At 41.8% G+C, this 17,228-nt stretch overlaps 1 protein-coding gene across 1 annotated transcript in view; it reads left to right on the top strand.

The window, feature by feature from the left end:
- The window catches only part of CUL4B (cullin 4B), a 51,675-nt gene continuing 40,333 nt past the window's right edge, over positions 5,887-17,228 (top strand). Inside the window, exons 1-2 of the mRNA NM_003588.4 lie at positions 5,887-6,013; positions 6,789-6,868. Coding sequence (NP_003579.3) covers positions 6,802-6,868 — 67 coding nt within the window. The 5' untranslated portion in view covers positions 5,887-6,013; positions 6,789-6,801. The remainder of the gene's footprint in view (positions 6,014-6,788; positions 6,869-17,228) is intronic.

The following is a 17,228-nucleotide window of genomic DNA, read 5'->3' as shown; positions in this document are numbered from 1 at the left end:
GTTGAAACTCAGAGAGACTTTGCTAAAGTAGGCCTTCTATGACAGCAGTCTTTGCTCCCCACTTTCCACTGCACCAAGAGACAGCCCTGAATCCCTGAGTCCTAGCGGAGCCAACATTGCAGAGCAGCCCAGAGATCATCCTTCTAACAACCAGGGAACTCTGGTTTTAAAGACTAGGCTCTCCTCACTTAGGCTTCTAATAGAGTCACTCTCAGCACCAAGAAGAGAGTTTTTTTTGTTTTGTTTTGTTTGTTTTTTGAGACAGAGTCTCAATCTGTCGCTCACGTTGGAGTGCAGTGGCGCGATCTCAGCTCACTGCGATCTCTGCCTCCCAGGTTCAAGCGATTCTCCTGCCTCAGCCTTCTGAGTACCTGGGATTGCAGGCACACACCACCATGCGTGGCTAATTTTTGTATTTTTAGTAGAGACAGGGTTTCACCATGTTGGTCAGGCTGGTCTCGAACTCCTGACCTCATGATCTGCCCGCCTTGGCCTCCCAAAGTGCTGGGATTACAGGCGTGAGCCACCGCACCCGGCCGAGGAGAGGTCTTCAATGCAAATGCCACCAACAACTCTTAGAGACCATCAACCACCACTAGGACTCCCTAGGAGTTGTCCTTAGGAATTAGAGACGAGGCATCTATTGGACATGCTACAACCTCTCTCCCACAATTTACTTCACTCACTCACCAGGGCCATCAGCAGATACACCAGAATGCATATACCTTTATTTATATATTTAAAACAAAAATAGGATTAGTCAATAGACATTGGGCTACAACTGGTTTTATGCCTCACTTAATGTATCACAGACTCCTTTCAGATGGATACATACGGCGCCATCATTTTCTTTGTAATGGCTGCAGTGTTCTACTACATGGATGTACCATAATCTATTTAGGCTTTCTTATCTTCCCCCCAGTTCTCTCCTCCTCATCCTCTCAACAGAGTTATAGCAACTTTTGGATAAACTATTATGTGTAAATAATTAACTGATGAGCCACATAATATATTATAATTACATTTCCTTTCTTAAACATTTGCTTTTCCTGGATTTAACAATTGCCTCTCCTTTTCATTTGCTTCATTTTTCTATGGTGCTCTGTGGAGTTGTGCAGTGCATAACTTATGCAGTTATATATGGCAGCCCTGCCTGTACCTATGGCTAAGTCATCCCGAACTATGAAACAGAGCTCCTTTATTTTTCCTCTAGGGTGAATGAGGGGTGAGGGGGCTGGGTTTCTGAGAAGAGAGCCAGACTTTCAATATAATTTTATAGACAGTTAAATTAATAGATGATCTATCCATTCCATTTTATTTTCTTAGATGCCTCTGTCTTCCTATTTCAATATCCTGTGTCAGATCATCTGTTTCCTGGATGCCATGTCTTCCTCTTTCTTGGTTTGCCCTTTAGTTTTAGTGGAGCATGTCTTCTAGTCACTTCTTGTGAGTGTGTGCATGGGAGGAAAATTATTTAAGCACTGCATGACTGAAAATGTATTTATTCTACCTTAAAACTCAACTGATATGTTGACTGAATATAGAATTCTACATTGGAAATCATATTCACTAATAATTTTGAAGTATGGTTCCGCTGTCTTTCAGCTTTACTGATTTCTATTGAGAAGCCAAATGCCATTCTTATTCTTGATCCTTTGTATGGAAACTTTTACTTCTTCCTACTTCTGGAAGCTTTTAAGGTCTGCTTTAATACTTTGAAATTTTACAATGGTATGCCTCCATGTGGGGCTCTTTCTCGCTCATGCTTCATGTTTTATGAATATAACACTTTTATCTTTCTGCATATACTGGAGTAGAAGCTTAGTAGGGCTTTTTTTAACGTTTTTTATTTATTTATTTATTTATTTATTTATTTATTTATTTATTTATTTATTTGGAGACAGTGTTGCTGGAGTGCAGTGGTGCGATCTCGGCTCACTGCAACCTCTGCCTCCTGGGTTCAAGTGATTCTCCTGCCTGAGCCTCCGGAGCAGCTGGGATTACAGGCGTGCGCCACCACGCCCAGCTAATCTTTTTTATTTTTGTAGAGACAGGGTTTCACCATGTTGGCCAGGCTGGTCTTGATCTCCTGACCTCAAGTAATCTGCCCACCACAGCCTCCCAAAGTGTTGGGACTACAGGCGTGAGCCACCGCGCCCAGCTTTTTAAAATGTTTTTATTTGTTCTTTTCATTGTTTATATTTTCTCCCACCTCCCCTTTTCTGTTTTTTGGCTTTTGTTTCACTTCTGGTTTTCATGTTGGTACTTTCCTTGAGTTGTTTGAAATCTTTAGTGATTTGTTCATATTTAAGAGTGAGGCACTAAAAAGCTGGCTGGAAGTTCTGAATGCCTGGGAGAAGGGGTGGGCTTTGATGTATGGCAATTGGATAGCAGGATGCTTTTTGGTTGAGGTACCTGTACCAGTAGACTATTCTTTGATGTGGCTCAATTCTTCAGAGAAGGATCCTTTAAATCTCCTATCTGGGATATAAGACTGCCTGCTTATATTCCAGGAACTAGATATGAGAAATAGAATCCCAGACTTTATTCCTCCTATTTTCAGTCTAGCATACTCTACTTTCCCTACTTGTCTCTAAGTCTATAACCTCTGTGGTTCATTTTCACTTATTTGCATTTTAGTCTATTTTAAAAACGTTTTATTGATAAATAACATACAGAAATGCACAAATCATTGGCTGGGCACAGTGGTTCACGCCTGTAATCCCAGCATTTTGGGAGGCTGAGGCAGGCGGATCACCTGAGGTCGGGAGTTTGAGACCAGCCATGACCGACATGGAGAAACCCCGTCTCTACTAAGAATACAAAATTAGCCGGGTGTGTTGGCACATGGCTATAATCCCAGCTACTCAGGAAGGCTGAGGCAGATGAATCGCTTGAACCCGGAAGGTGGAGGTTACAGTGAGCTGAGATTGCATCATTGCACTCCAGCCTGGGCAACAAGAGCGAAACTCTGTCTCAAAAAAAAAAAAAAAAAAAAAAAAAGAAATTCACAAATTATAAGTGTACTGCTCAATGAACTTTTACAAATAAAGCTACATAATGAGCATCCAGATGTCTCTTGTTTAGTTTCTACAAATAATAGACCTCTTTTGCTGGAGTAACATATGTAAAGCACTTAGAACGTCCATGGGATTTATGATGAGTGCTTCTACTGGGGCTAGCTAAAATAATTTAGTCACCTATCCATCTGCTTTCCATCTGCCTTTCTTTCTTTCTTTTCTTTTTCTTTCCTTTTCTTTTTTTCTTTTTTTTGAAACGGGGTGTCACTTTGGCCGAGGCTGGAGTGCAGTGGCACACTCACGGCTCACTGCATCTTTGACCTCCTGGGCTCAAGCAATCCTCCCGCCTCAGCCTCCCTAGTAGCTGGGACTACAGGTGTGTGCCCACCATATTGAGCTACTTTTTGTATTTTTTGTAGAGATAGGGTTTCACCATGTTGCCCAGGCTGGTCTGAAACTCCTAGGCTCTAAGCGATCTTCCCTCCTCAGCCTCGCAAAGTGCTAGGATTATAGGCTTGAGTCACTACACCCAGCTCTAAGCAGTGTTTTCATGTAGCATTTACCACTCCTAGTTTCACGGAAGGTAAAGTCTACATTCCAGTTTCTCCATTTTCTTGTTTTCAGGTGATTTCTGTACTTTACTATCTTCCTTACAAAATTTTTAATTTTGATGTAGTCTTACCTGTTAATGGATGGCCAAAAGGCACTGGATAAAAATCAGCAGCTATTCCTTATAAATGAGTGCAATGAGTATAGAAAGTACAATGAGAATAGAAAAAAAACTTTTTTTTTTTTTTTTTGGCCATGGTCTCGCTCTGTTGCCCAGGTTAGAGTACAGTGGCGTGATCTCTGCTCACTGCAACCTCTGCCTCCCCAGGCTCAGGTGATCCTCCCACTTCAGCCTTTGGAGTAGCTGGGACTACAGACATGCACCACCATACCCAGCTAATTTTTTGTATTCTTTGTAGAGACTGGTTTTACCATATTGCCCATGCTGCTGTCGCACTCCAGGGCTCAATCCACCTACCTCGGCCTCCCAAAGCGCTGGAATTACAGACATGAGCCACCACACCCAGCTAGAAAAGAGCTTTCTAAACACAGTAAAGAGTATCGAAAAGCCAATAGAAAGCATCATAATCAAGTCACGTCCCCTGAAATTCAGGAATAAAGCATAGATGTCCACTACAGTGTTTTGAAGGCTCTGGAATGTGACAAAACAAGAAAACAAAATAAGCTGTATAAATCTAAAAGAAAGAGAAAAGAGGAAAAAGTATATTTATAGATATGATTATACACATTGAGAATCCAAGAAATGTAACTTAAAAACATTAAAACTAATAAGCCTATGTAGTGGATATCTGCTATTTTGCTTTGCCCAGCATTCCTTCCTCTCTGCTTCTAGCAACAGCATTCTTCTTCCTTTGGGTACCTGCTCCTACTTTATCCTTTCAATATAGTCCTGGTAGGACAGGCAATCACAATAGTCCCCTCCGCTGCCTGTGGCTGGGCACCTAACCCAGGATGGACTAATCATAACATCATAATCATAATATCCAACCCCATTGGACTCAGTGGTAGCTCCAAGTGGTAGGCATGAGACCTGGCCCAGAGATACAAGATCTCCCTTGGAATTTTCCAAATCAAAGGTAAAGAAGTAATTTTCTCTTTTCCTTGGATATTGAACTGTAAGGATGTGACCCAGAGAAATTAGTAGCCATGTCGGGTCTCTACCATGTAAGAGTCTTAGAGAATTAGGCGATACAGAGAGAAGCAGAGATGAAAGATGAGACGGAGTGAGAGCCTAGATACCATTTGAGTCCCTCGATCTAGTTGGTTCTGAGATCTGCCCTATTCTTCCCAGTTACGTTAACCAATAAACTCAATTTTCCTCTTAAGATTATTCAAGTTGGGTTTCTGTCACTTGCAAACAAGAGTCCTAATACAAGCCAGATGCAAAATAAATATATAGAATCCCATCATTTCCATTTTTTTCCTTTTCAAAGTATTATTAAATAGCTCCCTTTTATTTTCCAATATTTGTTATAAAAATGTTCAAACATGCAGAAAAGTTTAAAGAATTTTTACAATGAACATCAATACACCCACCACCTAGATTTTAAAATTAACATTCTTTTGTTATATTCCAATAATTTTCTCTTATTCTAGTAATAACAGAACTAGACATTATGTGTGCATATATATATCCCATTCACAACAGTGTGAAACACCAACAGACACAGACTAAAGCCTTAACAAAACTTGTCTCTCAAGACAAAGAACCCAAAAAGGAGCAATCTAGCAATCGAGAAAATTTTAGATAGCTAATCTAGTCAAGCCAAATGCCATGGGAAAAAAGAAAAAATGCAGACTCACCCTTACCCAAGCCAGCAATGGCGGAACAGGAGCCTAGACTTCGGCTCTTAGAAGGCTCCAGTTCCCATCTCCCATCCCCCACCTTTTCCCGCTCAGCAGAGACCACGTGGAGAACCTGATGCCCCTCACCCTCCCCATGGAGGAGACGTCAGCACTACCCTGATGCACCACCCCTCCCCATGAGGGTGACGTCAGCACTACCCAATTGTGAAGACACAATCCCTCCCCAGCAGTTCAGTTTAGAAACTGCCAGTCTTGGTATAGAACAACCTAGGCTTATCTGTTTAAGTCCCATAGGTAGTATTATTAGAGAATAACCCAGGCTTTGGGAACTGTATAACTCTGAGATCGTTTGAAATTTTCGTTTTGTTTTTCTTTTGGCTCCAACCAGGCCTCTGTTGTTAGACTAATGGGGTTTCCCCTGCAGAGATTGGTCAGCCCTGCAGTCTATCATCCCGGAAGGTGTTAAATACACATGAAAGCCAGCCTCGGCGGGCAGAACCTAGCCCGCCGAAAGGGCGGGCATTGCTAAAGTGTTTTCAAAAGGTCTTCCCAATCCTCTGCTTTAGACAGCTCGGACCTTAGATAGAAGAACACAACGGATCCTCCAGTGACTGACGGTGAGCTAAAATGCCCTTTTGAGATTTCGGAATGTGGGGAGGATCTTGTTTAGGAACTTATTGAAGGTGGACCTGGTTATGTACCTGGTTATGGGTCACAAGACCTAAGCAAAGCCACATTTTTAGGCAATTTTAAGTTATTCTCAATGTTGTGCTAGGTTTCGTTATTCCCAAATATTTATAAGAGGTATGTTAAAAGTTACAGCCTTTATTCACCTGTGATGCGGATAACTTAGGGAAAAGCTCGTTAGAGTCATAGTTATTTGTGGTGAAGATCCTACCCAGCAAAGTGGTGATCACAAGATGGCCTTCAACAACCATAGCACTGCAGCTTAAAGAAGAGGCAGGAACAGAAGAAAATTTGTGACTGATTCAGATCATAAGTGAGATAGTACTTTGAAGAACCTCCAGAAATAGCTGGAGGACACTTTGAGGGGAATCTGTTTTGTTGACATTCAAGCCCGTAGGAGTTCAAGCCATTGTAATTTAAAATGGCATGTCAGGCTTCCAATTTAAGAGAATCTTAACAAATGTGTTTTCCCTGCCAAATCAGCTTGAAATGACAGAAGAAAAAAACGAGTAAAAGAATAGCACTAAAATTGCAAGGGTTAGCAAGGAAGGATGTGATTAGCAGACCAAAATTTTGATAATTTCCTTGAAGATATGGAACAAATAGGATAAAATTGGCTGGGAAACCAGAGTCAATGAATTCATAACACTATACAGATATGGGAGAGGACTGCTGGAAAAGTGAATTCTCTGTTTTCTATCGTAGACCCAAAGGACGGATGATGTCACAGTCATCTGGATCAGGAGATGGGAATGATGATGAGGCTACTACCTCTAAAGACGGTGGTGAGTAAATGAACTAGTAAAACTCAAGAGTTAAGTCTAAATAATTGTTAACAGGCCGGGCGCGGTGGCTCACGCCTGTAATCCCAGCACTTTGGGAGGCCGAGGCGAGCAGATCACGAGGTCAGGAGATCGAGACCACGGTGAAACCCCGTCTCTACTAAAAATACAAAAAATTAGCCGGGCGTGGTTGTGGGCGCCTGTAGTCCCAGCTACTCAGGAGGCTTAGGCAGGAGAATGGCGTGAACCCGGGAGGCGGAGCTTGCGGTGAGCCGAGATCGCCCACTGCACTCCAGCCTGGGTGACAGATCGAGACTCCCTCTCAAAAAAAAAATATTGTTAACAACATGTCTAGGAAGCTTGAGTAAATTCTTATGAAATTATACCTCAGGGCCGGGTGCGGTGGCTCACGCCTGTAATCTCAGCACTTTGGGAGGCTGGGGCAGAGGGGGGCAGGTGATGGGGGAGGAGGGGTTGGCGGGGAGGATCACCTGAGGTCAGGAATTCGAGAGCAGCCTGGCCAACATTGTGAAACCCCGTCTCTACTAAAAATACACAAATTAACTGGGCGTGGTAACGGCACGCGCCTGTAATCCCAGCTACTAGGGAGGCTCAGGCTGGAGAATCGCTTGAATGTGGGAGGCGGAGCTTGCAGTGAGCAGAGATTGTGCCATTGCACTCCAGCCTGGGCAACAGTGGGACTCCGTCTCAAAAAAAAGAAAAGAAAAAAGAAAAGGAAGGAAATTCCTCAGAACATCTAGCGTAATGAAACAATTAATAAAAAATTTAATAGCAAGGTAGAAACAAATTTTCCCAGAGAAAACTGGGATCAGGGGATGGTGGTCAAGAGAGCACTCCTGCTTTTACTTTGTTTTTGTTGCTTTACAGTGAGAATGAATTCATGTAATATTTTGGCAAAAACTTTAAGGTTTGATAAAATTTAGTGTGGCTAAGGATATGGGGCAGTTAATGGTCATTCAGAAGGTGGGGATCATATGTTGGCACAACATTTTTGAAGGGTAAATATGACAGTGTATCGAAATTTTAAATATACCTTCCCCTTGACCCAATTCTACTTTTTCAAATATATCCTCAGAAATACTTTTATACATGCACAGATTTATGTTACAAGGATGTTCATTGGAGCATGTTTGTAGTCACAAAAATTGGAAATAACCAAATGTCCAAAAATAGGGGAATGGTTTAATACAATATGGTATATTTTTACTGTAAAATAGTGTACAGCCCTTAAAAAGAATGAGGTAGATCTCTATATACTGTCATGGACAGATCTCTAATATATATTAAGCGAAAAAAGCAAATTGTAGAGCTATATGTACAGTAATTATGCCATTTTAAAAAATACTAAAGCTTCCTATTTGTATATATACAAGTATATATGTACATAAATGCTGAGGAAGGTGATGCACCAAATTTAACAGGTAAAAGACACTTTTAATTTTATTTTTTCTTTTTTGTATGCTTATCTGACCACCAACACTTACACTTTTTATCCTATATTCTTCTATATTGTTTAAATTTTTTCTTACAAAAAGAATGTTTATATATCATTTGCATAACTAAACAGAACTGAAACGTGACCATTAATAGAATGTAAATAGTATGTAGAACTTCCAAAACACTAATAGTTGAAAAAAGAAACAAAGGAAATTGTCAGTCCAGCAACGTAAGGTAAGAGAAAAAAGCAACAACAATAACGTGTGATAATTAGATTTTTTTAAGTGATAGGAATATGTATCCATATATAGTATACTATGTTGCCCTTAAAAATAGTGAGGTAGATCTGTGTGTAGTGACAAGGAAAGATGTTCATGATATAATATTAAGCAAAAAATAAAGTCACAGAAAAATTTATACTGTGTGATCCTTTTTTTAAAAAAAGCAAAAACTGCACGTTGGTTAAGTGTATAGAAAAAGATCTTTAATCAGTAAACTTAACTGAGGTTACCTTTGGGGGCTGGTTTTAGTTGGGGAACAGGGACTGAGTGGAGATTTCACCTTATTTTGTAGTCAAAGGTTGTTGAGACCTGGACATTTCTTTTCTTTTTCTTTTTTTTTTTTTTTTTTTGAGGAGTTTTGCTCTTGTTGCTCAGGCTGGAGTGCTATATGGCATGATTTCGGCTCACTGCAACCTCCGTCTCCTGGGTTCAAGCAATACTCCTGCCTCAGCCTCCCAAGTAGCTGGGATTATAGGCATGCGCCACCACACCCGGCTAATTTTATATTTTTTAAGTAAAGACAGGGTTTCACCATGTTGGTCAGGCTGGTCTTGAACTCCTGACTTCAAGTGACCCACCTGCCTTGGCCTCCTAAAGTGCTGGGATTACAGGCATGAGCTACCACGCCTAGCCAAGACCTGGACATTTCTAACTGTACCTCTGGTTATATTACTCCCTTCCATATTTGATGCCCTTCAGTGGTTACCCATGACCTACTAGATAGAATCTAAACTCTGGAGGATGACATACAATATTCGCCATGATCTGAACCCACCCCACCTCTCTGTCTTCATCTCTCATCATTCCTCCACAGGCCTACTGAACATCAGTCACACAGCATGGTAATATGGTTGTTCCAACGTATCTGCAGGGAACTGGCTCCAGGAACCCTGCAGATACCAAAATCGGTGCATATTCAACTCCCACAGTCAGCTCTGCGGAACCCACAGATACAAAAAGTTGGCCTTCCCTTTACAGGTTTCCAATCCTGCAAATCCTGTATTTTCCATTCCTGCTTGATTGCTGATGTGGAACCCGCCCATGCAGAGGGCCGACTGTATTTATTGAAAAAATATGTGTATAAATGGACCATCACAGTTTAAACCCCAATTGTTCAAGGGTCACCTGTAAACAGTTGCCTAAATGGGCCATGATCTTTCTCATGCCTCCATGTCTTTGCACACACTGTTCCCCTTTTCAAGTAATCCATAGATCTCTAGATCTCACTGTCCTGATACTACAAATTAAGTTTGGATTTGTATGATTAATATACAGGTTACAACGTTAAGCCCCCATATTGTGGACCATAGAGAGTCCATTCTTCCACCAGGTTGGAGGGTGCATCCCCCGCCCTTGAGTAATTTCCAGAAATCCACAAGGTATGCTTAAATGTTACAAAAATCAATCCTAGTTGTCATTTGTTATCTCTGCCAGCTATTCTTTCTGCATACTGTCATGGTCTGCCTTCAATAAGTCACCACTTCCTGTCTTGAAACTTTTTTTAAAAAAACCTTTTAGTTTTTTTAATTTTAAAAATTTCTGCAAACACTATGGCGACTTGTGTAATTTTAATACATACAAAAGATGTATGATGTGTAATTTATGGAGCATAATTATTAAATAAACATCCAGGAATCTATCATCTGTGTGTAAGAACTAGAACATTACTGATGCTTTTGAATTTACCTAAATTCCCCTTCCCTAAATTTTCCTCCCATACTTCCCCTAGAGCAATCTCCTATCCCAGATCTTACATTAATTATTCCCCCCACCCCACCCCACCCCCTTTTTTTTGTTATCTCCCTGTGTTGCTCAGGCTAGTCTCGAACTCCTGGGCTCAAGCGATCCTCCTGCCTCAGCCTCCCAAGTAGCTGGGACTACAGGTGCATACCATATCACCCAGCTATTTTCCTTCTATACTTTAATACTTTTATCATATTATATATCTGCAAGTTTTTCTTATTTTTGAGCTTTATTTAAAAAGTTATCAAATTGTAGGTATTATTTGGTGATTTGTGTTTTTCACATAACATTGTTTGAGACTTATGCACATGGCTGTAATTTATTCATTGTTCAATGCTGTATAGTATTTCATTATGTGACTATACCACAATTTATTTAGCCATTTTCTTATCAAAGAATATTCTCTTGCCATCCTTTGAAGTCTGCATGCAGAATAGGAATAGAAAATCCTTAGCATGTTCTAAATCACTTTCTCCTTTGTGCCATGTCTCTGTTTTTAACAATTAGTATATTCAAATGCAAGGACTGGCAATTTTTTTTTCTGTTAAGGAACTAGTAGGAACTATTTTAGACTCTGTGGGCCATACGGTCTCTGTCAAAACTCTAAACTCTGCTGTTTTAGCATAAAAGCAGCCACAGAAAATACATAGGCAAATAAATATTGCAATGTTCCAATAAAACTTTATTTACAAAAACAGGTAAAGGACAGGGTTTGGTCCATGGGCTGTGGTTTCCAAACCCTGCTGTAGTTTATCTGAATTTTTGTAGTGTTGCCCAGTATTGTGGTTCTTATTATCAAGTCTGCCCTTGTCTTACTTTGCACGTGTCAAACCCTATTCTCCCGCTTTGTGATTCTCACCTCCTATATCTAAGAGTGAGCCTGACTTGTAAATCCAATTCCTGAACCAGTGTGGCTCAAGGCAAGAAGTGTTATCTGTAGCCACAGCTCCAACAGCAAGTAGGGTATTTGAGTAAGATTTGGTGCTAAGAGGCCTAAGATTGCTGTACCAGACTTGAGATTGGGATGCTGCCTTCATTTCCTTCATTAGCTCTTCAGAGTTTCTGGTTAGGACTGAAGTTACACTCTAATAACTAGTCTCCTTGCAATGTCCTGAATGTGCCTTACTCTCTCTTCCTTTAGGATTTAAATGTGCTTCCTATCTTCCTTCTTTATGCCCCCTGCTCCCTTTCACTCCCTTTGCCTGGCTAATTCCCACTCACTCTCGGGGATTTAAATTGGATTTCTTTCTCTGGAAGCTATTCTTAATTCCCTTCCTCCACTGCACCCCACCTCACCCTCCTAGGCTGGGCCAGGTGTCCCACCTCTGCGTTCTCATAGTGGCCTTTGTCACTCTGTCTTGTAATTGTCTGCCTTACCCACCAAATATATTACTTGGTAATAGAAACTTCCCAGCCGGGCGCGGTGGCTCACGCCTGTAATCCCAGCACTTTGGGAGGCCGAGGCGGTTGGATCACAAGGTCAGGAGATCGAGACCATCCTGGCTAACACGGTGAAACCCCGTCTCTACTAAAAATATAAAAAGTTAGCCGGGCGTGGTGGCGGGCGCCTGTAGTCCCAGCTACTCCGGAGGCTGAGGCAGGAGAATGGCGTGAACCAGGGAGTCGGAGCTTGCAGTGAGCCAAGATGGCACCACTGCACTCCACCCTGGAAGACAGAGCGAGACTCCGTCTCAAAAAAAAAAAAAAAAAGAAACTTCCCTAAGGTGAGTGATAATTTAAAAGTTGGGCATTTAGGGATAGCTCTAAACCTACATTGCCAATTGAGAATGGAGGGCAAGGGTTGTCTTTGTATACTAAGGGAGTAGAACATGATGGGTCTGCCGGCAGGGTTCCTTCACTGTTTTCCTGGATTTGGCCAGGAGAAGCAGCCAGTTTCTACCTCTTGTGAAGATCAGCCACTGGCTGAGGGTCCAGCCAGAGAATAGACTGATTCTCTAGAACAAGATTGCCACCATATCCTTAAATGTGCATTGCCGGCTGTTTTGTCCTACCTGCTTGATGGTGGCCTGAACTGCATGCAAGCTTGGTCTCCTTTTGGGCATTTTGATTTAGCTTATCTCAATAAAAGAGTTATTTTCTTATTCTTCATTTTTTTCTCTTGGTGAGTGGGGCTCTGAACGTCTTTTTCTAACATGTCTACTACTTGAGACTATTTTATGGCAAGTCTCCTTACGAAATTGTAAACTATGGGAAGTGCTGTATTTGGAGTCTGTGAAGAACTGGACTTAGGTCTGTGTGCTTTGTGACTTTAGCAAATAATTTTAACTTCCTTTGCTGAGCCTACTTCTTATCTGTACAGTGGGGATGGTACTTGATCTATCTCACAGTGTGTTTATCAGGATAAAATAAGATTGTATGTGAAAGTGCTTTGAAAAACTGTGAAATCAACTACAAATTGAATTTTGTGTTATTCTGTATTCCCTCACGGCATCTAGCACCATGCGTTGCTGAGAGTATTTGCTCAATATATTTTTGTTGAATGACCAAAGGAATTGGAGAGAGAAATAATGCTGTTGGTGGGAATAAAGGACATTTAGTAATAGAAGCAGGAAAAATACATGACTTGGTAATAGAAACTTCCCTGAGGTGAGTGATAATTTAAAAGTTGGGCATTTAGGGATAGCTCTAAACCTACATACCCAATGTCTGCTCTCTGCTTTGCTTATAAAAAATATTTAAATTTTCTTTTAGTATGATTTTGGCAGCTTAGATAAGCTGTCAAACTTGATTAGGTTTTAAATATGCAGTCATCAAAAAGCAGGATTGGCCCTAGGCAATACTGTGAGGTCAGCAAAATGTACTCTCAGAAATCTTTCCTTCCTGGTTGGTAACCTCACCTCTCACCACTCCCTATTGCAGTGGCTTCTTCTAGTTCTGTTTACCTCCAGTCTCCTAGGACTTTCCTATTAGCTTTTTTCCTCCAAGAGGCATTCACCTTAAAGGGTTAGGAACTAAGACTCCTTGGCTAATTTGCACTTTAAAAAAGGATTCCTAGAGAAGGAGGCAATGTGTTATCCAAATGAGTGAATAAATAATCATGAAATTTCAGGCATTAAACGGAATACAAGTGCTTATCAGCCCCATTCAAATCACAAGACATACTTACTTCATCTACAACTATGGTTTCTCAAACTTGGAGGTATGTAGAATTTCCTGGAGAGCTGTTTTTTTTTTTTTTCTTCAGAGTCTTACTTTGTCACCCAGGCTGGAGTGCATTGGCACCATCATAGCTCACTGCAGCTGGAACTCCTGGGCTCAAGCAATCCTCCCACCTCAGCATCCCAAAGTGCTGGGATATGCCAGCACATACAGCTAATTTTTTTTTTTTTTTTTCGATAGAGACAGGGTCTCGCTTTGTTGACCAGGCTGGTCTTGAACTCCTGGCTTCAAGCAATACTCCTGCCTCGGCCTCCCAAAGTGCTGGGATTACAGGCACAGGCATGAGCCACCGCACCTGGCCAAGAGCTTCTTAAAAATACTGATAATTGAGGTCCTCCTCACAGAGATTCTGATTGAATTGGACTGACTAGGTTTGGACCTGGGTAAAGATTAAAAAACAAAAAAAACTCCTAGGTCATTCTATTGTACAGTGAGTTGGGAACCCTGGATTTAAATCTAAATTGGCACTGGGTGCAGTGGCTCATGCCTGTAATCCTACCACTTTGGGAGGCCGAGGTGGGCGGATCACCTGAGGTCAGGAGTTCAAGACCAGCCTGGCCAACATGGCAAAACCCCATTTCTACTAAAAATACCAAAAAATTTAGCTGGGCATGGTGGTGCACACCTGTAATCCCAGCTACTTGGGAGGCCAAGGCAGGAGAATCACTTGAACCTGGGAGATGGAGATTGCAGTGAGCCAACATTGCACCACTGCACTCCAGCCTGGGCGACAGAGCCAAACTCTGTCTCAAAAAAAAAAAAAAAAAAAAAAATCTAAATTGGCCTTGTCTGTGAGAAAAAGAAAAGCTGAATGCCATTAGATCAAACATTGAGCAGGGTGGGGTTGGAGGGACTTTGAGAGACATCGATAAAGTAAACAGAATGTTAAAAATAGGCCCATGCCATGGCACATCAGCTCGCCAAATATATATATAGGCCCAGCAACTCCATAAGCAAGTCCTTGGCAGCACCCAAGGGAGAAGTCATCTGTGGCTGCTCTGGCTCCCCACTCCCAAACCCTCAGGGAAAACAGCCTATCTCTAACTTTTAGTCCTTAAATCTGCTTTCCAGATGGTTCACAGGTATGACAGATAAAATCTCTGAGCTAAGGAACGAAGTGCTTGAATGGTTGATGTACCAAGTCAGTAACTTCAGGCGATGTAAGATAAACAATTTTGCTAAAAATATGAAATTTGGCTGGGTGCGGTGGCTCACACCTGTAATCCCAGCACTTTGGGAAGCTGAGGCAGGCAGATCACCTGAGGTTGGGAGTTCGAGACCAGCCTGGCCAACATGGAGAAACCCCGTCTCTACTAAAAACACAAAATTAGCCAGGCGTGGTGCTGCATGCCTGTAATCCCAGCTACTTGGGAGGCTGAGGCAGGAGAATCGCTTGAACCCGGGAGGTGGACGTTGTGGTGAGCCAAGGTAGTGCCATTGCACTCTAGCCTGGGCAACAAGAGCGAAACTCCATCTCAAAAAAAAACCCAAATATATATACATATATATATATATATATATATATATATATATATATATATATATACCTATACACACACACATACATATGAAATCTGTTATCTATTTACATTTTACTTAGCACATAGGTTCAGCACATGTTATTACTTTCCTTGCTTTTATATAGCAATCTCAGGATGGGAAACTGATGAATTCACATTGTGTAGTTGGATTATTTTTGCTTGAGCTTTGGCCTCCTCAGCAGCCCATTGGTGTTGATAGCATAACAAAGCCCTTATTATGATACAATCTTTACTATCTCAGCATTGCTTAGTTTGCCTTCTCTGTACTTTCCTGCTTCAAAGATGATCCTTCAGAAAAGTGGATGAAGAAAATGGACTGCCTGGGCCGGGCGCGGTGGCTCACGCCTATAATTCCAGCACTTTGGGAGGCCGAGGCGGGCGGATCATGAGGTCAGGAGATCAAGACCATCCTGGCTAACATAGTGAAACCTCATCTCTACTAAAAATACAAAAAAAAATTAGCTGGGCGTGGTGGTAGGCGCCTGTAGTCCCAGCTACTTGGGAGGCTGAGGCAGGAGAATGGCATGAACCCGGGAGGCGGAGCTTGCAGTGAGCTGAGATGGCGCCGCTGCACTCCAGCCTGGGTGACAGAGCGAGACACTGTCTCAGACAAAAAAAAAAAAAAAAAGTAAATGGACTGCCCTTTACCTAGCAGTTTTTTTTTTTTTTTTTTTTTTTTTGCACTCTGTCACCTAGGCTGGAGTGCAGTGGTGCAATCTCGGCTCACTGCAACCTCTGCCTCCCGGGTTCAAACAATTCTCCTACTTCAGCCTCCCAAGTAGCTGGGACCACAGATGTGCACCACCAGGCCTGGCTAATTTTTGTATTTTTAGTAGAGACAGGGTATCGCCATGTTGCCCAGGCTGGTCTCAAACTCCTGGCCAAGTGATCCACCCACTCTGGCCTCCCAAAGTGCTGGGATTACAGGTGTGAACCACTGTGCCCAGCCGTTTTTTCTGTTTTGTTTTGTTTTGGTTTTTGCTTTTTGTTGTTGTTTGTGTTTTTTTAATGCATTCTCAGAAACATCTTCAGATTCTCCTGGGCAAGCAGTCTCTCCCATTCCTAAGGAAAATCCCACCCATTGGATAGGAAGGCTTCCAGGAGTGTCTGTCTAGTGGCAAGCCACTGGTATGAGATATCTGGAGAGGACCTAAAGCACCCCAGATGGCTATAACTGTATGGCGTCCTACATTACACATCTTGATTCCCCAAGCACCCTGGGGAATCCCTGTGATCAAAAAGGGGAAATGGGTTACACTCTGCCTTTTTAGGGAGATGTCCACAGAAATAAAGGAATTGACATTGTAAAAGCTAGCTCCCTGTCTTTGTTTGTATTTCTTCCTTTACACATATACTTACCTTTATAAACAGCTTGGTTAAAGGTGGCCAATAATAACTACACTTCATGTGGCAACATTGTAAAGTTTAATTAATGTTTCTAAGGTATGAGTTGAACTCACAAGATGAAAGATCCTAAATATGGAATATGTGTTAAGTGCCCAGTCTGGTTTAGTCTGATAATGGCTATAATTGTATGGTGTCCTACATTACACATCTTGATTAGTGTGGCTCCCGTGAGTTCAACCTTGAAAATGTATTTTAATGTTGAGAATGTGTTTAACGTTGATTGGCAAACATTTGGGTGTACAGAATATACGCTTATGTTCTTCAACTAGCCTCAATTAGTTGGTTCTTGATGTAAAAGATATTTTACAAACCAACTTGGAAGGTTTTTGTTTTTTTTTGAGACAGACTCTTTCTCTGTTGCCCAGGCAGGAGTGTAGTGGCACAATCTCGGCTCACTGCAACCTCCACCTCCTGAGTTCAAGCGATTCTTCTGCCTTATCCTCCCGAGTAGTTGGGATTACAGGCACCTGCCAACGTGCCCAGATAATTTTTGTGTTTTTAGTAGAGATAGGGTTTCACCATGTTGGCCAGGCTGGTCTTGAACCCCTGACCTCAGGTGATCGGCCCGCCTCAGCCTCCCAAAGTTTTGGGATTACAAGCCTGAGCCACCTAGCCTTGTTTTTTGTTTGTTTGTTTGTTTTTTGTAACAAGGTCTCACTCTGTCACCCAGGCTGGAGTGCAGCAGTGTGAGCTTGGCTCACTGCAACCTCTGCCTCAGGTTCAAGGGATTCTTTTGCCTCAGCCATTTGAGTA

The sequence above is a fragment of the Homo sapiens genome, chromosome X (assembly GCF_000001405.40).
Source record: "Homo sapiens chromosome X, GRCh38.p14 Primary Assembly".
NCBI classification, from domain to species: Eukaryota; Metazoa; Chordata; class Mammalia; order Primates; family Hominidae; genus Homo; species Homo sapiens.
This window is presented reverse-complemented; position numbering and strand designations above follow the sequence as displayed.